At 41.4% G+C, this 24,637-nt stretch overlaps 1 protein-coding gene across 22 annotated transcripts in view; it reads left to right on the top strand.

Moving 5' to 3' along the window:
• Positions 1–24,637, top strand: part of MICU1 (mitochondrial calcium uptake 1) — a 258,740-nt gene that overhangs the window by 2,424 nt on the left and 231,679 nt on the right. The window contains exon 2 of one of the 22 annotated variants that reach the window (NM_001441222.1): positions 20,715–20,808. The exons of 20 other annotated variants lie outside the window; for them this stretch is intronic. The gene's annotated coding sequence lies outside the window, so the exon portion shown is untranslated. Of the gene's footprint in view, positions 1–20,714; positions 20,849–24,637 lie in introns of all 22 variants that reach the window. One more of the 22 variants, NM_001441221.1, reaches the window with a different exon arrangement.

The following is a 24,637-nucleotide window of genomic DNA, read 5'->3' as shown; positions in this document are numbered from 1 at the left end:
TGGCCAGGCTAGTCTCGAACTCCTGACGACCTCAGGTGATCCACCTGCCTCGGCCTCCCAAAATGCTGGGATTACAGGCCTGAGCCACCACACCTGGCCTACCCAGGCTAGTCTTGGAACTCCCAGACTCAAGCGATCCTCCCGCCTTGGCCTCCCAAAGTTCTGGGATTGCAGGTACAAGCCACCATGCCTAGCCACTAGAACCAGTTTTTTTAAAAAGGTTTACTCAACTGTTTTTTCCACACATATTTTCTTTTTCTTTCTTTTCTTTTCTTTTTTTCTTTCTTCTCCCTTTCTTTCTCCCTCCCCTCCCCTTCCCTTTTCTTTTCTTGTCTTTTTTTTTTTTTTTTTTTTTGAGACGGAGTCTCGCTCTGTCTTGTCTTTTTGACAGAGTTTCACTCTCGTTGCCAAGGCTACAGTGCAATGGCGCGATTTTGGCTCACTGCAACCTCTGCCTCCGGGGTTCAAGTGATTCTTCTGCCTCATCCTCGTAAGTAGCTGGGATTACAGGAGCGTGCGCCACCACGCCCGGCTAATTTTTGTATTGTTAGTAAAGATGGGGTTTTACTATGTTGGCCAGGCTGGTCTCGAACCCCTGACCTCAAGTGATCCGCCCGCCTCAGCCTCCCAAATTGCTGGGATTAGAGGTGTGAGCCACTGTACCTGGCCTCCCACTCATAATTTAAAAATGAAAATATTGTAATAGCTTTATTTTGTGCCAGGAGAAGAAGGTGATTGTTTTTAGATGGATATTCTATGTGCTTTGGTAAATTATGAGAAAATTGTTAATACTTTTAAGATATTGAAATATGAATAAGCATGTTTGAGAAGAAAACACGGGCAATATTTTTAAACATTTTAAATTTCCTATTATTGAAGTAATATGCTTATTTTTGGAAAATGGAAACATTATCGAAAATACAATATTGAAAGTCAAAGTCCTAATTTATCTTTTCTCTTACTACCAGGTAACCACTAGTTCCCTTTGCATATTTGGGATTCAGTGTGGAAAAGTAAGGCTTTGGAGTCAGATTCCCTGGGAAAGATTGTAATACCAGCACTAGGCTTACTTCCTTCAACCTCAGAAACCCAAGAAGAAAGAGAATTTCCCTTTCTCTACAGTTCCAGCGCACCACTGTATGGTAGTTTCATTGACCTGACTTGGGTCTTTGCCCATCCTAGAGGCAGTCCCTGTGGCCAGAGTGATGGAATGCTTTGTGTGGCTAGGCTTGGAATTTGTCCCTATCCTGGAGTGGGAAGGAGAGGAATATAGTTTGAAACCATTTGAGTTAAGGGTGGGTGACAGTTCCTAAAGAAAAATTGAGGTGATGCTTTCTGGAGAAGAGCAATTGGTTGCTGGACAGGCAAAAACAACAGATGTTCACTAAAATAATTTTCATGTTTTTTTTTTTTTTTTAATTAAGAGAACTTGGGGCCGGGCGCGGTGGCTCACGCTTGTAATCCCAGCACTTTGGGAGGCTGAGGCCGGCAGATCACGAGGTCAGGAGATCGAGACCATCCTGGCTAACATGGTGAAACCCCGTTTCTACTAAAAAAACAAACATACAAAAAATTAGCCGAGTGTGGTGGCAGGCGCCTGTAGTCCCAGCTACTCCGGGGAGGCTGAGGCAGGAGAATGGCGTGAACCTGGGAGGCAGAGCTTGCAGTGAGCTGAGATCGTGCCACTGCACTCCAGCCTGGGCGACAGAGCAAGATTCTGGCTCAATAAATAAATAAATAAATAAGAGAACTTGGTTTCCTTTTGCAATATAAAAAATTGTATTTACAGTTTATGTGTTGATTTTTTTCTATTTTTAATGCCTATTATAATCACTTAAAGAACTTGAAAAAATTTACACTCTTCCAGTGTGTGTATCTGTACTGTTATTACATGTTTAGTACCCCTGCTCTGGAATATTCAGGTTTTATAACTTTAAATATATTATGTATTAGCCAGCTTGTTAAAATAAATTCTTGATATTTTTATTGCTTTGGGTGAACTTGATTAGTAACTGCAGTTAATAAATAGTAAATAAAAATGTTTTAAATATTTAAATACATGTTGTGGATATGATTAAATACTTGGTTCTTTTCATTGTTTTATGTTTAAAAATCTGTTAGTATAGAAACCACTTTATTTTTTTATTATTATTATTATTTTTTGAGACGGAGTTTTACACTTGTCGCCCAGGCTGGAGTGCAATGGCGCGTTCTTGGCTCACTGCAACCTCCGCCTCTTGGGTTCAAGCAATTCTCCTGCCTCAGCCTCCCAAGTAGCTGGGATTACAGGCACCTACCACCACGGCTGGCTATTTTTTTTTTGTATTTTAAGTAGAGATGGGGTTTCACCATGTTGGTCAGTCTGGTCTCGAACTCCTGACCTCAGGTGATCTGCTAGCCAAAGTGCTGGGATTATAGGCGTGAGCCACTGCGCCCATCCAAAACCACTTTATTTTGAACGTGGTATGTAAAATAAATTACCATAATTATAACTAATTGCTATTACTGGGTGTTAACTTTAAAATTATAATTAACACTAGTTTTGTATCTTTATGCCTTATTCTGGTGGTTCATCATTAAAACAATTTTTTTTTCTGTAGAAACGGGGTCTCACTATGTTGCCCAGGGTGGTCTCAATCTCCTGGGTTCAAGCATTCCGCCTGCCTTGGCTTCCCAAAATATGGGGATTACAGGCATGAGCCACCATGCCTGGCCAATCATGCTTTAAGAGCACGATAGAGTGGATACCTGTAGATAAGATACCTGTGGGTAAAACAGGTAACAGAATGTCAGTTGAAAAAGCAAAAAAAGGTAGCTGTGGAATTGGACAACTGTGAGAAGTGATTGACATTAAATATAATTAATAACCTGTCGTTGAAAAGTTAAATATTGCCACATCGTGGGAGAGGTGTTTTAGTTCTGTTTATGAGGCAAGAAATGGCTAGAAGTAGACTCAGCTTTTTTCCCCCAAACTAACAGGGTGATCAATTTTTTGCAGATCATAAATGTTTCCTAGACTAATATTAAGTTCAAGATGGGTTTTACTATGAGAAAATTGAAACTTTAGTGTAATATTTGAAAAAGATATCCTCAACAGTTAAGGATACAAATAATGCTTGCATTTCTCTTCAAAGTGATTTAATGTTGCTTATTTAAAACTTGAAGTGCTTGGCCAGGTGCAGTGGCTCATGCCTGTAATCCCAGTACTTTGGGAGGCTGAGGCAGGAGAATCACTTGAGGTCAGGAGTTCGAAACCAGCCTGGGCAACGTGGTGAAACCCTGTCTCTACTAAAAATACAAAAAATTAGCCAGGCATGGTAGCACACTCCTGTAATCCCAGCTGCTTGGGAGGCTGAGGCATGAGAATTGCCTGAACCCGGGAGGCGGAGGTTGCAGTGAGCCAAGATGGCACTACTGTACACCAGCCTGGGCGACAGAGTGAGACTCCATCTCAAAAACAACAAAAACTTCAAGTGCCTATTCTAATAACCTTGCTTGGACAGTTAATTTGGATTTGGTGTCTGTTATAAGCAAAAATTTATAATTTAGATTTTGCTTTTTAAAGTTTGTTCTTTGAGTATGGGAATTAGCAAGCTGTTTTTTTCCTTTTTTTTAAAAAAAGTAAACATGAATACTTTGCCTACCATCCTAATAAGATTGAATCAGCACTGTAATATAGCACAAAAGGGTATTAGAATCTAGCTCTAATGTATCCTCCTCCCCTTTTTATTCGTTTTCACATGTTCTAGTCAGAATGAGACACTTTTTCCTCCCCATGTTCACCATGTGTTTTTGTGTCTTTATGCCTTTACATGGCTATTTGTTGTACCTGGAATGCCTCTCCACCGTTCTGCCATCTCCCAACTGGTGAGCTGCCGTTCATCGTTAAACTAGATTAATGAATTATTGTTCAGTATGTAGAACCTCCCTCTACCCTCAGGTGGTTATTTTCCTTCTTGGTTCTCGTAATTTACTTTCCTTGTTGGTTCTCATAATTTATCTGTTTAAAGTAGTCTTCTCACTTTGTGGAGCAATTGTATGTATTGTCTTAGATTGAGTGATTCTTGATGCCAGAAACTGGGTCTTATTCATCATCATATCCTGAGTACATAACAGAGTCTTTGTCACAAATATGTAAGCTCAGAGCATGTTTGGTGAATAAATGAGTAAATAAGATATTTTATCTGTTTTATTTATTTATTTAGTTTTTTGAGACGGAGTCTTGACCTGTTGCCCAGGCTGGAGTGCAGTGGCACAATCTCGGCTCACTGCAAACCCCGCCTCCTGGGTTCACACCGTTCTCCTGCCTCAGCCTCCCGAGTAGCTGGGACTACAGGTGCCTGCCACCATGCCTGGCTAATTTTTTTGTATTTTTAGTAGAGACAGGGTTTCACCGTGTTAGCCAGGATGGTCTCAATCTCCTGACCTTGTGATCCACCTGCCTCAGCCTCCCAAAGTGCTGGGATTACAGGTGTGAGCCACCGGGCCTGGCTAATATTTCATTTGTTTTAAAAGTCAGAATAGAAAAAAGATATAATCCAATAAAGTAAGTCTGTACTTTGTAACCTTTATCAGTCTGATATATTTAGAGAATTTATCTGGACACATCTAGAAAATTCCATCCACATATTCTACCACATATCAACAAACAGGTTTCTAATATGTATCAAGACATTGAAAGGAGAGATGAAAATACATTCTGTTCTTCAAGGACCTTACAGCCTAGTGGGGAAAACAGACAGATGAACTGATAATTACAATTTAAATTTAAGCTCATTAAAAATAAAGAAAACAAAAAATTCAGTTTCTCTTAGTTTTTTTAGACATATTTCAGATGCCCAGTACTCACATATGGGTAGTGGCTATTGTATTGAACAGCACAGATACAAAATATTTCTGTCATCACAACATGTTCTACTTGACAAGAGCTGTGATAGAACATTATAATTAAATGAATCTGCATTCTCTAGTTTGAGATGATAGTTTCATTTCAACCAAGTTTCTTGTGCTTTTTCTATTAAAATTCTCTTTTAGATTCGAAAGTTGTATTTCTTAAAATTTTAAGCAGATTTTATTGTAATATATTTCAAATAAAGTAGCATTATTATTTTTTTCAGGTCTTTGACCTGTAATAGCATTTAAATTAAGCAATCTTCGAATTTGATTTTCAATTTAAGCATTGATATTATCTGATATTTTATGCTAATAAGTTGTGAGATGGTATTGAAGCATAATGGTTAAGTGCAATGCCATTGGGAGCTAGGGGCAGTGGCACACACCTGTCATGTCAGCTATTCTGGAGGCTGAGGTGGGAGGATTGCTTGACCCCAGGAATTCAAGACCAGCCTGGGCCACATAGTGAGACCTCATTTCAAAAAAATAATAAAGGTATGCAATTATTTTTAGAAAACAATGTGTTTGTGATCAGAGAAACCTGCCTCTGCCATGCTATAACCTTAGGCAAACTGGTAGTTTTTTTTTTTTTTTTTGAGACAGAGTCTGGCTCTGTTGACCAGGCTGGAGTGCAGTGGCATGATCTCGGCTCACTGCAGCCTCCACCTCCCAGGCTCAAGCGAATCTCCTGCCTCAGCCTCCCTAGTAGCTGGGATTTACAGGCATGCGCCACCACTCCTGGCTAATTTTTATATTTTTAGTAGAGATGGGGTTTTACCATGTTGGCCAGGCTGGTCTCTAACTCCTGACCTCAAGTAATCTGCCCACCTTGGCCTCCCAAAGTGCAAGGATTACAGGCGTAAGCCACTGCGGCCAGCCTAGGCAAACATTTTAACAGATTCTAGCTTTGCTGGTTTTTTGTTGTTGTTTTGAGTTGGGGTCTCGTGCTGTCACCCAGGCTGGAGTGCAGTAGTGTGACCACAGCTTACTGCACCTTCAAACTCCTGGGCTCAAGCAATCCTTCCATCTCAACCTCCTGAGCAGCTAGGACTATAGGTGTGTGCCACCACACTTGGCTAATTTTTAACTTTTTTGTAGAGACATGGTCTTGATATGTTGCACAGGCTGGTTTCAAACTCCTGGCCTTAAGTGACCCTGCCGCCTCGGCCTCCCAAAATTCTGGGATTTTATTTTTAGTAGAGACAGGGTTTCTACATTACAGGTGTCAGCCCCCATGCCCAGCAAGCTTTGGTGTTCTTATCAGTGAAATGGGAGTAATAATAATATTTACCCCAAAGGATTACTGAGGACTAAATAAGGTAATGGATATCAGGTACTTAGCATAGTACCCCTCACAGAGTAGTGTTTATTAAATGCTAGCATTAAAAAGAGTTTAAACTATCAGTTCAATTTTTTTTAAATTGAGGAAATTGGAGTATGGACTGGTGTTAGATCATACTAAGGGATGGTTAAATTTGTTGAGTACAACTGACATGATTATGTGGGAAAAAAGTCCATATTTTTGGAGAGACATACCAAAATATATAGCAGTGAAATGATATAATATTTGAGTTGCCTTAAAATAATTCAGAGAAAGAGATGAATAAAAGGGACAAAAAAAACTGGTCTTCTATTTCTGGTGAAGAAGTAGTAACAGGGTTACCTTCTTGCCTGAAACAGCTAAAAAAGCAGACAAAAATGTGTAAAACAGTGGTTGTCTAGATTTTGAACATTGTGCAGCAAAGGAGAGTAATCCCTGAAAGATAGGAAAGAAATGAGATGAGGTCTATGATTGCTCTGGCTTGCTGCCTAGACAGTTTTCCAGCTGCAGAACAGGGACAGGGAACCCAGACAGAGCACAATAGTTTCCCTTAATTGAGGGAGTCTGGGGAGGCCAAAGCATCTGGAGTTTGCAGGGCAGAAAACTGGAAATAGCTGCAGAGAGGGAGAACTTCAGAGAACTACAGAGGATCCGTCTCAAGTATTCTGCTGAGAACTGATCAGTGGATGTATGTGAGGAAACTTTCTGAGGCTAGGAAGATAATCACTTGAAAAGATCAGATAAAACAATACTTGCCGAATTAGGAATAGTGTGTTTTTTTTTTTTTTTTCCCACCAACCAGAGTGGAAACCATCTTTATAGGTCATTATGTAGAGTCTTTTTTTTTTTTTTTTTAGATGGAGTTTCGCTCTTGTTGCCCAGGCTGGAGTGCAATGGTGTGACCTCGGCTCACCACAACCTCTGCCTCCCAGGTTCAAGTGATTCTCCTGCCTCAGCCTCCCAAGTAGCTGGGATTACAGGCGTGCACCACCATGCCTGGCTAATTTTGTATTTTTAGTAGAGACGGAGTTTCTGTGTAGAGTCTCTTAAGGGTTTTGCCCTAACAGTGGGTAAATTAGCCTTGAACTAAATGCTTCTCCAGCCCAGGCTGACAAAGCTTAAAAGCAAGACCTGAAAGGGCCAAAACTGTTCCCTACTAATTTAATCATGGCCCAGAAGAAAGCTCAAAAATAATTATAGGAATACAAGAAAGCACACAAGGTAAAATTCACAATGTCTGGCATCCAATCAGAAATTACTAGGCATGCAAAGAAGTAGGAAAACGTGACTCATACTGATGAGAAGAAAATTAGAAACCAAAACAGAAGTGACACAGATGATAGAATTAGTAAAGAGGGATTTAAAACAGTTTTCATAAGCATATTCTATATGCTCAAGAAACTAGTAGAAAGATTGAACATGTTTTTTTTTGTTTTTTGTTTTTTGTTTTTTTGAGACGGAGTCTCGCTCTGTCGCCCAGGCTGGAGTGCAGTGGCACAATCTCGGCTCACTGCCAGCTCCGCCTCCCGGGTTCACGCCATTCTCCTGCCTCAGCCTTCCAAGTAGCTGGGACTACAGGTGCATGCCGCACGCCCGGCTAATTTTTTGTATTTTTAGTAGAGACAGGGTTTCACTGTGTTAGCCAGGATGGTCTCGATCTCCTGACCTTGTGATCCACCCTCCTCGGCCTCCCAAAGTGCTGGGATTACAGGCGTGATGAGCCACCGCGCCTGGCCAAGACTGAACATGTTAAATAGAGACATGGAAGGTATAAAAAAACTCAAACTGAACTTTCGGAGATGGAAACTATAATGTCTGAGATGAAAAATACATTTAATGGGATTAATGGCAGATTAGACATCAGAGAAAAAAGCCTAAGACAAGACTCATGAAATATAGAAAATAATCTATGCAGAATTCTTGCCAAAAATACTTAATTTGACTGTGATCTAACCTTTAGATGTAACTTCCAGTTTACAGGAAAAAAAAGGAATAGAGAAAGATTTAATACCACAGCACAGTGTGCTGTGGTGCTGTTGCTCACACCTGTAATCCCAGCACTTTGGGAGGCCAAGGCGGGAAGATTGCTTGAGGTCAGGAGTTCAAGACTAGCCTGGCCAAAGTGGTGAAACCCTGTCTGTAGTAAAAATACAAAAATTAGCTGGGCATGGTGGCACATGTCTGTAATTCCAATTACTGGGGAGGCTGAGGCACAAGTATCACTTGAGCCCAGGAGGCAGAGGTTGCGGTGAGCCAAGATCATGCCACTGCACTCTAGCCTAGGCAACAGAGTGAGACTGAGACTCCATCTCAAAACAAACAAACAAACAAACAAACAAACACAAAACCACACCACAAGGAAGCAATCAGACAAATCCGCAGTATGAAAAATGCTGCAATATATTTGCCCTTTTCAGAAATTAAGGTTGTGCTGTGATTGTACAACATGGTGAATGTATATGCCACTGAATTGTATGCTTAAAAGTGGTCAAAATCGTCAATTTTCTGTTATGTATATTTTAGCACAGCTTAAATATTTACCATTTTAATAATTTTTAATGTACAGTGGCATTAAGTACATTCACATTGTTACACAACCATCACTAGCATTCATTTCCAAAACTACTTCCCAAACTGAAACCCCATACTCATTAAATGCTCATTCCTCATTTCCCTCTCCCTGAAACCTCTGGCATCCATCATTCTACTTTCTGTCTCTATGATTTGACTATGCTAGGTGCCTCATGTAAGTGAAATCACAAAGTATTTGCCTTTTTTGGATTGGCTTGTTTCCCTTAGCATAGTATCCTTCAGGTTCATCCATGTTGTAGCATATGCTAGAATTTCCTTCCTTTTGAAGGTGAAATGACATGATGAAATTTTGCCATGATTAAGAAAAAATAAAGGCTGAATAATATTCCTTGTATGTATGTGTCACATTTTATCCATTCATCCATCAGTGGACACTTGGGTTGCTTCCACCATTTGGCTGTTGTGCACAATGCTGCTTTGAGCATGGCTGTACAAATATCTATTCAGGTTCCTCCTTTAAATTCCTTTGGAAATACACCTAGAAGTGGAATTGCTGGATCATATGGTAATTCTATGTTTAATTTTTTGAGGAGCTGCCATACTTTTTCTGTAGTGCCTGCACTATTTTATATTCCTATCAGCAGTGTACAAGGGTTTCATTTTCTACACATCCTTGTCAACACTTGTTTTTTTTTTAAAATTTAAGTAATAGCCATTTGAATGAGTATGGGTACATTTTATATTATGTGTTTTTGTTTTATTTTTGGGGATGGAGTTTTGTTCTTGTTGCCCAGGCTGGAGTGCAATGGTGTAATCTCAGCTCACTGCAACCTCTGCCTCCTGGTTCAAGCAATTCTTCTGCCTCAGCCTCCTAAATAGCTGGGACAGGCGCCCGCCACCACGCCCAGCTAATTTTTTTGTATTTTTAATTGAGACGGGGTTTCGCCACATTGGCCAGGCTGGTCTTGAACTCGTGACCTCAGGTGATCCCCCCACCTCAGCCTCCCAAAGTGCTGGGATTACAGGTGTGAGCCACTGCACCCAGCCTATTATGTATATTGTAACACAACAAAAACTAGAGTTGTAAGGGGAGAAAAAGGTTATGTATGAGGAACTCTTCTAGATTAAGAGAGACTGTTTAGAGAAAACCAAAGATAGTCTTATTTGTAGGGATCCTGGTTTGAAAAATCAGCTGTAAATTTTGGGGGAGTTTGTATGTGTTCTAGTATTAGAAGATATTAGGTAATTATTAATTTGAATAAATTTGATAATGTAGTTATGTAGGAGAAAATATTGTAGTTGTGTAGGAGAATATTAAAATATGTAGGGGTATAGCCAGGTGTGGTGGCTCATGCTCATAATCCCAGAGCTTTAGGAAGCTGAGGTGGGAGGACTGCTTGAGGCCAGGAGTTGGAGACCAGCCTGAACAACATAATGGGACCTGGGCTCTACAAAAAATAAAAAAAAATCAGCCAGGCGTGGTGGCACATCCCTGTAGTTCCTAGCCACTCAGGAGGCTGAGGCAGGAGGACTACTTAAACCTAGGCGTTTGAGGCTGCAGAGTGCTATGCTCATGCCACTGCACTACAGCCTGGGTGACAGAGCAAAACCCTGTCTCTAAAAAAAAAAAAAAAAAAAAATTAGGGGTAAAGTGTTTCTCCTAATAATGTCTGTAATTTACTTTGAAATGATTCAACATAAAAAATAGTTTGATGAGTAGCCATATAGATAAGTAGATGAAGCAAGTATATCAAAATGTTAATTGTTGAATTTAAGTAATGCACATATGGTGTTGATAATAGTAGTCTTTGAAATTTCCTGCATGTTTGAAAGTTTTAAAATAAGCTATAAAGGTTTGATGTTAATTTTTTTTCTGAAAAAGAGGCCATTTAAACAACTTGCTTTTATTTTTATAAATAATTACTTTTAATCTTTAATATTTCTAGTTTTTCTTTATATTATGGATTTTGTCTTACAGATACTGCATCTTTTCTCTCTCTTTTTTATTCTTTGTATGTCATTTGTATGCATTTTAGGAAGTGAATTTTGTGTTGTCTTTACCAGTGGAGTATGCATTCTTCCTATGCATCCCAACTTTTTTTTTTTTTTGAGACAGGGTCTCACTCTGTCACCCAGGCTAGAGTACAATGGTGCAATCATAGTTCACTGCAGCTTCAAACTCCTAGGCTCAAAGGGTCCTCCTGCCTCAGCCGCCTGAATAGCTATGACTACATGCATGTGCCACCTTGCCTGGCTAATTTTTTAAAATTGTTTTTTGTGAGACAGGGTCTTGCTATCTTGCCCAGAGTGGTTAGGAACTTCTGGCCTCAAGTGATCCTCCTGCTTCAGCCACCCAAAGCTCTGGGATTATAGGCAGGAGCCACTAAGCCTGGCTATATTCCAACCTTTTGAAGGAGCAATTTGACTGTCAAAGCCTTGGCATGACTCCCATTACTCTTTTAGCCTAGAGGTTTTAATTTCATGCTCTATAGGAAAATGGCTCCTAAGTCATTAATAACTTCCTTTTCGACTGCATGTTTTCTTTAGGCTCAGATTAAAGTCTGGTCAGCTCCTGAAATACTTTGTGTACTGTGTTAAGATTCACGAAGTGTCATTTTTTTTTTTTGGTTAAGAAAACAGATGGCAGACTCTAGTGTTATTGTGGGAAATCTGGAGTTCTACTATAAGAAATTAAACATTTTAGCCTAATGAGTCTGGGATTTTATTTATTTCTTTAAGCCTGTTTACTAGTTGATTTTCCCAATATTAAGCACATACACAGATTTCTTTCCGTAGCGTAGTTTGATAGGAAGACAATTAGGAAAGGAGTTACCAAATCTGGTTTCAGTTTCCAATTTCACTATTATCTAGCTTTGTGATTTTTTTTTTTTTTTTTTTGGTTGGTTGGTTTTTAAGAGATAAGGTCTCACTGTGTTGCTCAGGCAGGAGTGCAGTGGCTATTCACAGTCACTGTGTAGCACTGTAGCTTCAAACTCTTGGCCTCAAGCGATCCATCTGCCTCATTTTCCCAAGCAGCCGAGACTATAGGGACACACCACAGTGCCCAGATAGCGTTGTGACAGTGATGGAGTTGCTTATCACCTCCCTGGCCTGTTCCCTCTCATACTGAAATTTTGAAAAATGTTAAGGTCTCTTTCAGCTCTAATATTCTAGTATATTACTCCTTTAGTCTGTTATTCTCAGTGTTTGAGAGTATTGGGGCAGACCATGTACCTCTCGTCAAAACTGGGTTTTTTTCTTTCTTTCTTTTCACTTTTATCTTAATTCTTAACACAGGGCTTTCTTTTTAGGGTTTTTTCTTTTTCTTTTTTTTGAGATGGAGTCACTGCAATCTCTGCCGCCCGGGTTCAAGCAATTCTCCTGCCTCAGCCTTTCGAGTAGCTGGGATTACAGGCACGCACCACCACACCCAGCTAATTTTTGTAATTTTTGTATTTTTAGTAGAGACGGGGTTTCGCCATGTTGGCCAGGCTGGTCTCCAAGTCCTGACCTCAGGTGATCCGCCCGCCTCGGCCTCCCAAAGTGCTGGGATTACAGATGTGAGCAACTGCTCCCGGCCTTTTTTCTTTCTTTCTTTTTTTTTTTTTAAAGGGAGTCTCGCTGTGTCTCCCAGGCTGGAGTGCAGTGGAGCGATCTCTGCTCACTGCAAACTCCGCCTCTCGGGTTCCCGCCATTCTCCTGCCTCAGCCTCCCGAGTAGCTGGGACTACAGGCGCCCGCTACAGCGCCCGGCTAATTTTTTTGTATTTAGTAGACACGGGGTTTCACCGTGTTAGCCAGGATAGTCTCCATCGCCTGACCTCGTGATCCGCCCGCCTCGGCCTCCCAAAGTGCTGGGATTACAGGCGTGAGCCACCGCGCCTGGCCTTGTTTTTTTTTAAACAACAAAAATCTTAGAATTTTAATCCAGTTACTTGCCTACTTTTTTGTGGCAGCAGGAAGTTTTTCTTTGTACTGATAAATATATTTATTACAGTTTTTCCTTTGGCTAGTAAAATAGAAATACAAGGTAAAGTAATGTATCATGTTGTACTACATAGTGTCCATTTGCCCCTCTGTATTCACCCTCTAACCTCCTCCACTCAGCTTTATGCTCCAAGAGGCTGCCTTTTGTAAGCTACATCCATAAGCTCTTTTCCTTTTGTTATCCAATAGGGTTTGGCAAAGACAGAAGGTGGGAGGACAGTGATGTCTGTGTGTTTATTTCCCTGGCTCCCTCCTTGTCAGTTGGTAATAGTTGTATTCCTCTGCTGAAGGCCACACAACTTCTGTCAGCTGTTTCCCAAAGCTGTAGCTACAGTTGACTGAGTTCTGGTAATTCCAGTACTACCTTCCCTGGCCCACTAAGGCCTACTGTCTTCCCACTGTTTCTTATGTTCAGAGTGCTTTACTATCTCTTGTTCGTTTTTGTTAACTCTGCTTGTGTCTTTGCAAACAGTCTTTTTAGTAAATTCTCTCTAATTAACCATCCTTGGCAGTTTTTGTCTCTTAAAATTTTAAATCTCAGATAAATGATGAATCAGTTGCCATATTCCACATAATTTGGACTAGATATATTTTTTCTTTAAAAAAAGTGTCGTAAAATATATATAACATAAAATTTACTTTTTTACTATTTTTTTTTTTTTTTGGAGAGTATGTCACTCTGTCACTTATGCTGGAGTACAGTGGTGTGATCATAGCTCACTGTAGCCTCAAACTCCTGGACTCAAGTGATCCCCCTGCCTCAGCTTCCTGAGTAGCTGGGACTACAGGTGTGTACCACCATGCCAAACCAATTTTTAAAAAATTTTTGTAGGGATGGGGTCTTGCTGTGTTGCCCAAGCTGGTCTTTTTTCTTTTTCTTTTTTTTTTTAGATGGAGTCTCGCTCTGTCGCTCAGGCTTGGAGTGCAGTGGTGCCATCTCGGCTCACTGCAACCTCCGCCCCTCCAGGTTTAAGCAACTCTCTGCCTCAGCTTCCGGACTAGCTAGGATTACAGGCACGCACCACCACACCCAGCTAATTTTTTGTATTTTTAGTAGAGATGGGGTTTCACCATCTTAGCCAGGCTGGTCTTGAACTCCTGACCTCGTGATCCACCCACCTAGGCCTCCCAAAGTGCTGGAATTACAGACGTGAGCCACCACGCCCGGCCACCATTTTTTTTTTTTTTTTGAGACGGGGTCTGGCTCTGTTGCCCAGGCTGGAGTGCAGTGGCGCGATCTCGGCTCACTACAAGCTCCGCCTTCTGGGTTCACACCATTCTCCTGCCTCAGCCTCCCGAGTAGCTGGGACTACAGGTGCCTGCCACCACACCCAGCTAATTTTTTGTATTTTTAGTAGAGACGGGGTTTCACCGTGTTAGCCAGGATGGTCTCGATCTCCTGACCTCGTGATCTGCCCGCCTCGGCCTCCCAAAGTGTTGAGATTGCAGGCGTGAGTCTCCGTGCCTGGCCTTCAAGCTAGTCTTAAACTCCTGGCCTCAAGTGATCCTTCCCACCTTGGCCTCCCAAAGCGTGGAGATTATAGATGTGCACCATCATGCCTGGCATGACCACTTTTTAATGTATACTTCATTGTCATTAAGTACATTCAACATGTCATGCAGCTATTGCCACTATTCATTTTCAGAACTTTGTCATCTTCTCAAACAGAAACCCTGAACCCATTAAACAATAAATTCCCATTTTCCCTCTTCCAAGCTCTTGATAACCATTAGTCTACTTTCTGTCTCTGAACTTTTACTATTTTAGGTACCTCATATAAGTGGAATCATATGGTATTTGTTGTTTTGAATCTATCCATATTGTAGCATATGCCAGAATTTCCTTCCTTTTAAATGGCTGAATAATATTCCATTGTGTATATATACTGTTAAAACACTTTACACAAATTAAATTTAACAGAGCTTAATTGAGCAAAGAATGATTTGTAAATTGGCCAGCCCTCAGAACCAGCATGGATTCAGAGCAACTCTAGGGCTGCTTCATGGTCAGATGACATTGATAGAAAACAGGAGTGAGGTCCAGAAATGGCTGGATTGGTTACAGCCAGGAGTTTGCCTTATTTGAACTTGGTTTGAACAGTTGGGTGCCTGTGGTTGGATGAGACTTGGGTACTTGTTACAAGAGTAGGTGTATTTATACATCGTTAGGTTACAGTTAAGTATGGAGAAACATTTAGGCCGATCTTAAAATATGTACGGAGGCAGTTTTAGGCCAAACTTAATTCGACTAACAATAGCTGCATTATTTTACATTCCCACCAACAATGCACAAAGGTCCCAATTTCTCCACATTTTCTCTGGAAAATATTCTAGTTTTTTATAATAGATACTCTGTTTTGTGTGTGAATAGTACCTCATTATGGTTTTAATTGGTTTTAATTTGCTTTTACCTAATGATTGATGATGTTGAGCATCTTTTCATGTGCTTATTGGCCATTTGTACATCTTTGGAGAAATGTCTATTCAAGTCCTTTCCTCATTTTTTGAAAAGGATTCAAATGGTATTTAGGTTAGACAAAAAGAAGCATTTCGGCCAGGAGAGGTGGCTCACACCTGTAATCCCAGCACTTCGGGCTGCCGAGGTGGGTGGATCACTTGAGGCTAGGAGTTTGAGACCAGCCTGGCCAATATGGCAAAACTTTGTCTCTACTAAAAAAAATACAAAAATTAGCGGGGCTTGGTGGCACATGCCTGTAATCGCAGCTACTCAGGAGGCTGAAGCAGGAGAATCGCTTGAATCCAGGAGGTTGAGGTTGCAGTGAGCTGAGATCACACCACTGCACTCCAGCTTGGGTGACACAGTGAGACACCCTGTCTCAAAAAAAAAATTATTTGATTAGAACAGTATAAAGGAAAAAACAATCTGTGTAAGAAAAACAAAATTTTCTTCCTCTCTTTACTCTCACTCATAACACGCAGTCACTCAGCACTTCACTGCCTACACCAGATGTGTGGATTGTTTCCCACCCTAACCAATGTCTGATACTAGTTGAATGTCCTACAATTCAGTTCAATTCTGGTACTAACTAGAGTTAGTGTAGACCCCCCCCACAGGTTAATGGTTGGGTCTCAGTAAACTGTTCCCCCTTAGATGCTAATCACATGCAGTAGGCTCCCAAGTTACCCAGTTCTGTCCAACCTCACTGCGAATTGGAGGTTCCCACAACCTCCTTCTTGGGTTTGGTCATTTGCTACAGCAGCTCACAGGACTCAAGAAGGCACTTTACTTACTATAACTTGCTTATCTTTTTTTTTTTTTTTTTTTGAGATGGAGTTTCGCTCTTGTTGCCCAGGTTGGAGTGCAATGGTGCGATCTTGGCTCACCTCAACCTCTGCCTCCCAGGTTCAAGCGATTCCCCTGCCTCAGCCTCCTGAGGAGCTGAGACTACAGGCGCACCACCATGCCCACATAATTTTTTGTATTTTAGTAGAGACAGGGTTTCACCATGTTGGCCAGGAAGGTCTCGATCTCCTGGCCTCATGATCCACCTGCCTCAGCCTCCCCAAGTGGTGGGATTACAGGCGTGAGCCACTGCGCCCAGCTCCCTTTTTTTTTTTTTTGAAACAGAGTTTCACTCTTGTTGCCCAGGCTGGAGTGTAATGGTGCGATCTCGGCTCACTCCAACCTCCGCCTACCGGGTTCAAGCTATTCTCATGACTCAGCCTCCCGAGTAGCTGGGATTACAGGTTTGCGCCATGACGCCCGGCTAATTTTTGTATTTTTAGAAGAGACAGGGTTTCACCATGTTGGCCAGGCTGGTCTTGAACTCCTGACCTCCTGTGAGCCACCCACCTTGGCCTCCCAAACTATTGGGATTACAGGCGTGAGCCACCGTGACTGGCCTATAACTTGCATATCTTAAAAGGATAAAACTAAGAAACAGCCAGATGTAAGAGTTGCGTAGGGCAAGGTATAGGGGAAAGGACCTGCCAGGCTCCTTATGCCTTCATGAGTTCACCAGCCTGGAAGCTGTTGGAATGGTCCTTTTAGGTTTTTATGGAGACTTCATTATGTAGGCATGATTGATTAAGTCGTTGGCAAGGATAATGTGCTCAATCTTCAGTCTCCCTCCTTTCCCTGGAGGCCAGGGCTGAAATCCCACCCAGACTGAAAGTACCAACTTTCTAATCACATGGTTGGTTGCACAGGAAACCAGCCCTCTCATTCTGGGACTATTTAGAAGCCCCCAACCCTACCATCAGTCATCTCATTAGGATAGAAAAAGTCACATCACTTCAGAGGTTTCAAAGTTCTTAGGTGCTGCCAGGAAATGGGATGAAGACCAACATATATATATATATATTTCTTATTATAAATCACAGTATTACAAATAGCAAGGATAGATAAGTTCATGATTAAGTCTTACTTAAAAAAAAATTTTTTTTTTTGAGACATCATTTCGCTCTTGTTGCCCAGGCTGGAGTATAATGGCGGGATCTCAGCTCACTGCAACCTCTGCCTCCTGGGTTCAAGAGATTCTCCTGCCTCAGTTCCCGAGTAGCTGGAATTACAGACGTCCACCACCATGCCCGGCTAATTTTTTTGTATTTTCAGTAGAGACGGGGTTTCACTGTGTTGGCCGGGCTGGTCTCGAACTCCTGACCTCAGGTGATCCACCCACCTCAGCCTCCCAGAGTGCTGGGATTACAGGCATGAGCCACCGTGCCCAGCCTTACTTTTTAATTTTAATTAAATATTTGCATTGAAGGGAAGAGATTTAGGTTTACATAGTTATGTAACATTTTAGTGAAATTTCTTTTTTTTTTTTTTTGAGATGGAGTCTCACTCTGTCGTCTAGGCTGGAGTGCAGTGGTGCAATCTTGGCTCACTGCAACCTCCACCTCCCAGGTTCAAGTGATTCTCCTGTCTCAGCCTCCTGAGTAGCTGGGACTACAGGCATGCGCCACCACGCCCAGCCAATTTTTTTATTTTTAGTAGAGATAGGGTTTCACCATGTTGACCAGGCTGGTCTTGAACTCCTGACCTCAGGTGATCCACCCACCTTGGCCTCCTAAAGTTCTGGGATTATAGGCGTGAGTCACCACGCCCAGCCAGTGAAAATTATATTACTTAAATTATACAGTAGTTCCATGATATCTGTGAGGATTGGTTCCAGGACCCCCTCGGATACCAAAATCCACAGATGCTCAAGTCATTTAGATAAAATTGTGTACTATTTGCGTATAACCTATGCACATCCTCCTGTATACTTTAAATCATCTCTAAACTACTCATATCTACTACAGTGTAACTGTTAGGTAAATAATTTAAATTATTATCACCATCAGCAGCATTCTATTATATTACCTTTCAAACTATCACAGGGCAAACCCCACAGTTGGGATTCAACCCAGGAGGCCATGTGGATTCTTGGCTTTGCCCAAGAAAGAATTCAAGAGCAAGCATAGAGTAAAGTGAGCAAGTTTATTAAGAAAGTAAGGGGATAAATGGGTGACTACTTCATAGGCAGAGCAGCCCTCATGGGCTGCTGGCTGGCTTTATTCATGATTATTTCTTGATTATATGCTAAATATGGAGTGGATTATTTATGAGTTTTCTAGGGAACTGGGTGGGAAATTCCTGGAATTGAGAGTTCTTCCCCATTTCTGACCATATAGGGTAACTTCCAGACATTGTTGTGGCATTCTTAAACTGTCCTGGCGCTGGTGGGAGTTCCTTTTAGCATGCTAATGCGTTATAATTAGTGTATAATAAGCAGTGAGGATGACAGTAGGTTGTTTTCGTTGTCATCTTGGTTTTGGTGGGGTTTGGCTGGCTTCTTTACTGCACCCTGTTTTATTAGCGGGGTCTTTGTGATCTGTATCTTATGAAACCAGTCCTGCCAAACTTCTCAAAACAAGTATTTATTCATAATTTGCTGCATGTTAGGCATTGTACTCAGCATTTTACAAGTATTATTACATTTAATTCTCATTATGGTCATTTGTGATAGTGTTTTCATCTGTTTATGGAAGCACAGAGTTGCCATGTCAGGAATAAAACACACTTCTGATTGACTGCAAAATTGATGGCCAATAAGAGGTCAAGCTGGTTACGATCTGGTATCTAGAAATGATTAGCTAGGTTACCTAGAGTAATACACTTAACTTTCTGAGCCTCAGCTTATTGAAACAGAACAAAACAAAATCTAACAACAGCAACACATATTTACCTATATGTTCAGTAGCACTTTCATTTGTGATCTTCTAATTTTGCTTTAAGTCCCAAAGTTTAAGACAACATCTTCAAGTAAGAAAGGGAGATTCTTTTTAAAAAGTACTTGAGCAATTAGAAATTGGAGTAAGGGTTAAAAAAAAAAAAAGGCAGAAGGCCGGGCACGCTGGCTCATGCCTGTAATCCCAACACTTTGGGAGGCCAAGGTGGGCGGATTGCCTGAGGTCGGGAGTTTGAGACCAGCCTGACCAACGTGGAGAAACCCCATCTCTACTAAAAATACAAAATTAGCTGGGCATGGTGGTGCATACCTGTAATCCCAGCTACTCAGAAGGCTGAGGCAGGAGAATTGCTTGAACCCAGGAGGGGGAGGTTGCAGTGAGCCGAGATCACAACATTGCGCTGCAGCCTGGACAATAAGAGCAAAACTCCGTCTCAAAAAAAAAAAAAAAAAAAGGGCAGGAAAGTATCCTGTGAAATACCTAATATTGTTATCAAGCCATGAACCTAGGTTTGTTTCTAGAGAGAATATAAATATAGAGAGATTGTTATAAAAGAGTATCTATAAAGATGTCTGTTGCTTTGAATGCTAAAAAAGTTCCATGGAATTTTTATGTATATAGGAAGAGACTTCCGTTAGCAGATGTGTGTGTGTGTGTGTGTCTTTGTGTAAAATCCTTACAGATTGGCCCATACTACTAATTAGTTATTTGCTGTTAAATGAGACTATAACATGTCATCAACTCAGAGTGTTGAATTTCTGCCACAGAACTTAACTCTTTCAACCAATTGCCAATCAGAAAAATTTTAAATCTACCTATAACCTGGAAGCCCCTGCTTTGAGTTGTCCTGCCTTTCCAGATCAAACCAGTGTACACCTTACAGGTGTTTTTTTGTTTGTTTGTTTGTTTTGTTTTGTTTTTGAGACAGAGTTTCATTCTTGTTGCCCAGACTGGAGTGCAATGGCATGATTTCAGCTCACCACAACCTCTGCCTCCCAGGTTCAAGTGATTCTTCTGCCTCAGCCTCCCGAGTAGTTGGAATTACAGGCATGTGCCACCACACCCGGCTAATTTTGTATTTTTGGTAGAGACGGGGTTTCTCTATGTTGGTCAGGCTGGTGTCGAACTCCTGACCTCAGGTGATCCATCCAAAGTGCTGGGATTATAGGTGTGAGCTACTGTGCCTGGGCGACTTACATGTATTGACTGATGTATTATGTCTCCCTAAAAAGTATAAAAGTGAGCTGTACCCTGATTACCTTGGGCACATATTGTCCAGGCCGCATCCTTAACTTTGGCAAAATAAACTTATTTATTTATGTATTTTTTTTTTTTTTTTGAGACAGAGTCTTGCTCTGTTGCCCAGGCTGGATTGCAGTGGCATGATCTCAGCTCACTGCAACCTCCATCTCCCAGGTTCAGGCTATTCTTGTGTCTCAGCCTCCCGAGTAGCTGGGATTACAGGTGTGCAACACCATGCCTGGCTAATTTTTGTGTTTTCAGTAGAGATGGGGTTTTGCCATGTTGACCAGGCTGGTCTCGAACTCCTGACCTCAGGTGATCACCCGCCTTGGCCTTCCAAAGTGCTGGGGATTACAGGCGTGAGCCACTGTTCCCAGCCGGGAACAGAGTCAGTGGCATGATCTCGGCTCACTGCAAGACAGGATCTCATTTGCTCTGACTTCTGGGTTCACGCCATTCTCCTGCCTCAGCCTCCGAGTAGCTGGGACTACAGGCACCCGCCACCACGCCCGGCTAATTTTTTGTATTTTTTGTATTTTTAGCAGAGGCGGTGTTTCACCATGTTAGCCAGGATGGTCTCAATCTCCTGACCTCGTGATCCGCCTGCCTCGGCCTCCCGAAGTGCTGGGATTACAGGTGTGAGCCACCGCGCCTGGCTGCAAAGTGGCATTCTTAAGTATTGATTCTTTCATTCTGTCTTCATATTTTTATTTCTAAATTACAGTAGGATTTAGAGCTCTTATTTAAAAAAGGAAGTCCATAAGATATGCTGCATGTTCAATGGTATTTATAATGTATTATTGTTGATTACTATTTTATATTTACCTTATTTCTTTAAAATTTTCTCTTAGAGTCAATCTCAGTCTTTGAAGAGCTTGGCTTAGTCAAAACTTTTATTTCCTGTACATTCTTAGGTTAAAGCTTTACAGACAAAGCGTATTGTATCCTAAACAGACATGATTAGCAAATCATAAATGAAGATATTTACATAGGCCATTTAGGTTTATTCGGTTGTATGAATTTTTTTTTTTTTGAGACAGAATCTCGCTTTGTTGCCCAGGCTGGAGTACAGTGGTATGATGTTGTCTCACTGCAACCTCCCCATCCTGGGTTCAAGCGATTCTTCTGCCTCAGCCTCCCGAGTAGCTGGGATTACAGGCGTGTGCCACCACACTCGGCTAATTTTTGTATTTTTAGTAGAGATGGGGTTTCACCATATTGGCCAGGCTGGTCTTGAACTCCTGACCTGAAGTGATCCACCCACCTCAGCCTCCCAAATTGCTAGGATTTGGGAGAGAGCCACCGTGCCTGGCCTGTTGTATGATTAACTCATCCTAATAACAGCTTTTGTATGGTGGTGTGTCATTAAAGAAATTTAAAATATTACTCCAGGCATGGTGGCTCATGCCTGTAATCCCAGCACTTTGGGAGGCCAAGGTGGGTTGATCACGAGGTCAGGAGTTCGAGACCAGCCTGGCCAATATGGTGAAACCTCATCTCTACCAAAAATACAAAAATTAGCCAGGCATGGTGGCACTCTCCTGTAGTCCCATCTACTCAGGAGGCTGAGGCAGAAGAATCGCTTGAACCTGGGAGGCGGAGGTTGCAGTGAGCTGAGATCATGCTACTGCACTCCACCCTGGGTGACAGAGCAAGACTCTGCCTCAAAAAAAAAAAAAAAGAAAAAGAAAAAAAGAAATTTAAAATATTTTATATATTGTATACAATTATATTCCTCCACAACTGTCCACTCTTCATCAAATTTGAGCATATTAATACACACGCTTTCTTGTTTCTTCAGCTCCTCATTTCCTTATGAGGACTCCTGTATCACAGAAAAATTACATTAAATAAATTTATATGCTCTTTTGTTGTTAATCTGTCTTTTGTTGTAGGGGCCTCAGCCATGAACCTGGGATAGATGGGGAAAAGATAATTTCTTTTCCTACACATGCAGAGGGAAGACTACATCAAACATATATATACACTTTTTACTTTTTTCTTTCTTTTTTCATTAATTCTTTCTTTTCTTTCCTTTTTTTTTTTTTTTTTTTTAAAGACAGGGTCTCATTTGCTCTGACTCTTAAGCTGGAGAGTAGTGGCGCAAGCATGGTTCACTGAAACCTTGACCTCCTGGACTCAAGTGATCGTCCCACCTCAGCCTCTTGAGTAGCTGAGACCACAAATGCACACCACTGCACCTGGCTAATTTATTTTTAGTTTTTGTAGATACAGGGTCTCCTTATTTTGCCCAGGCTGGTCTTGAATGCATGGGCTCAAGCAAGGTACCCAACCTGGCCTCTCAAAATGTTGGGATTACAGGTCTGAACCACTGCACTCAGCCTGTATGTACACTTAAGGAATAATTATAAAAGTGAACTTTATAGCTACCCATCATCCAGGTCCAAAAAGAACATTTTCTTCACACCAGAAGTCCCCTGTGTACCCTTTCCTGATCACAACTTCTTCTTCCCCTGAGGAGATAAATTACCATCCTGACTTTTGGTAATAATCATTATCTGTTATCACCAAACATAATTTAGTTTTGTGTGTTTTTGAACTTGAATAGATGAAATTATGCTGTTTACAGTAGTTCCCCCTTATCTACGGGGGGATATGTTCTAAGACCCTCAGTGGATGCCTGAAACAGCAGATAGTACTGAACCTGATTGCTGTCAATGGAAACATGTTTCTGTTTATGTCTTCTACTCACAAATTTAATGCTTTTCACATTTTAACTAAGCACTTATCATGCATAGTGGCCATAACGTTTGCAGTTTAAGGTGTGACAGCAAAACTAGCATGAATTTCTTTTTCTTTTTTTTTTTTTTTTTTGAGACGGAGTCTCTCTCTGTCACCCAGGCTGGAGTGCAATGGCATGATCTTGGCTCACTGAAACCTCCACCTCCTGGGTTCAAGCAATTCTCCTGCCTCAGCCTCCTGAGTAGCTGGGATTACAGATGTGCATCACCGTGCCCAGCTAATTTTTATATTTTCAGTAGAGATGGGGTTTCATCATGTTGGCCAGGCTGGTCTCGAACTCCCAACCTCAGGTGATCCACTCACCTCGGCCTCCCAAAGTGCTGGGATTACAGGTGTGAGGCACTGTGCCTGGCCATAAATTTTTCTTTCCTCACAATTCCACAGAAAGAAGACTCATTTTTATTGTAGATCTTTTTTTTTTTTTTTTTGAGATGGAGTTTCACTCTTGTCACCCAGGCTGGAGTGCAATGGCACAGTCTTGGCCCACTGCAACCTCCCCATCCCGGATTCAAGCAGTTCTCCTGCCTCAACCCCCAGAGTAGCTGGGACTACAGACGCCCACCATCATGTCCCGCTAATTTTTGTATTTTTGGTAGAGACGGGGTTTCACCATGTTGGCCAGACTGGTCTTGAACTCCTGACCTCAGGTGATCCACCGGCCTCAGCCTCCCAAAGTGGTGGGATTACAGGCGTGAGCCACCATGCCTGGCCATGACTTTCTTTTTCTTTCCTCACAATTCCAGAGGGAGAAGATTCATTTTATTGTAGATCTTAGCAGCCTTGGCATATGATTCTTTTCTTCTTATGAAGTCAAAAACTTTTATCTTTCCACTTAAAAGAAGCACTTTAATAAAGTCTAATGAAGTCTACCAGGGTATTGTCACTTTGAGAGTGTGTGTTTGTGTGCATAGGCGGGTGATAAACTTGGAGAATGAATTTCATACATTGGTATTGTGGTACATAATAGAAGTTGCCAATGTAAGTAAGAAAGAGGAAGGAAGGAAGAAAGAAGGCAGGAAGTAAGGAAGGAAGAAAGAAGGGAGGGAAGGATGGAGGCAGGTTTTGGGTGATGCTGGCTTTACTGTTTCTCTTTAACAAATCTGAATTGCTAGCATCACTACTCTTGGGCTTTAGGGCCTTTATTAAGTAAAATAACATAAGCACTGTGATGCTGAACAGTTGATCTGATAAGCCAGAGGGCTCCTAAGTGACTCTAAGGGGTGTGTAGTGTGTAGAGCATGGATATGCTGGGTAAAGGGATGATTCATGTTCCAGGTGGGATGGAGTTGCATGGTTCAGGGTTTCATCTTGCTACTCAGAACAGCGCCTGATGTAAAACTTATCAATTGTTTATTTCTAGGAATTCACATTTAATATTTTAAATATTAATATTTAAATGTTTGCATTTAATACTTTTTAAATTCTGCATTTAATAATTTGAATTTAAGACTTGTAAGTCCATTGTACTTCATTGTTATACACATTATTGTTCTCTTCTCTCTTTTGGTGTTTAGGAATGCTTTGTGTTAACACAAAGGCCAGGGTGAGAGCTGCAAGCCAGGGAAAGATGAACCGAGGCATTTAGATTACCACCTACATTGGCTTGCCAGACAGAAGCTCTGCCTGGGGATAAAGATGAGGATAAACATAAGGCATTTGGTGTTTCCTTTGTGTCCTGACTTAGAAATCTGACCATGGACGA

The sequence above is a fragment of the Homo sapiens genome, chromosome 10 (assembly GCF_000001405.40).
Source record: "Homo sapiens chromosome 10, GRCh38.p14 Primary Assembly".
NCBI classification, from domain to species: domain Eukaryota; kingdom Metazoa; phylum Chordata; class Mammalia; order Primates; family Hominidae; genus Homo; species Homo sapiens.
Note: the sequence above shows the minus strand (reverse complement) of the source record. Positions and strands in the feature narration are given on the sequence as shown.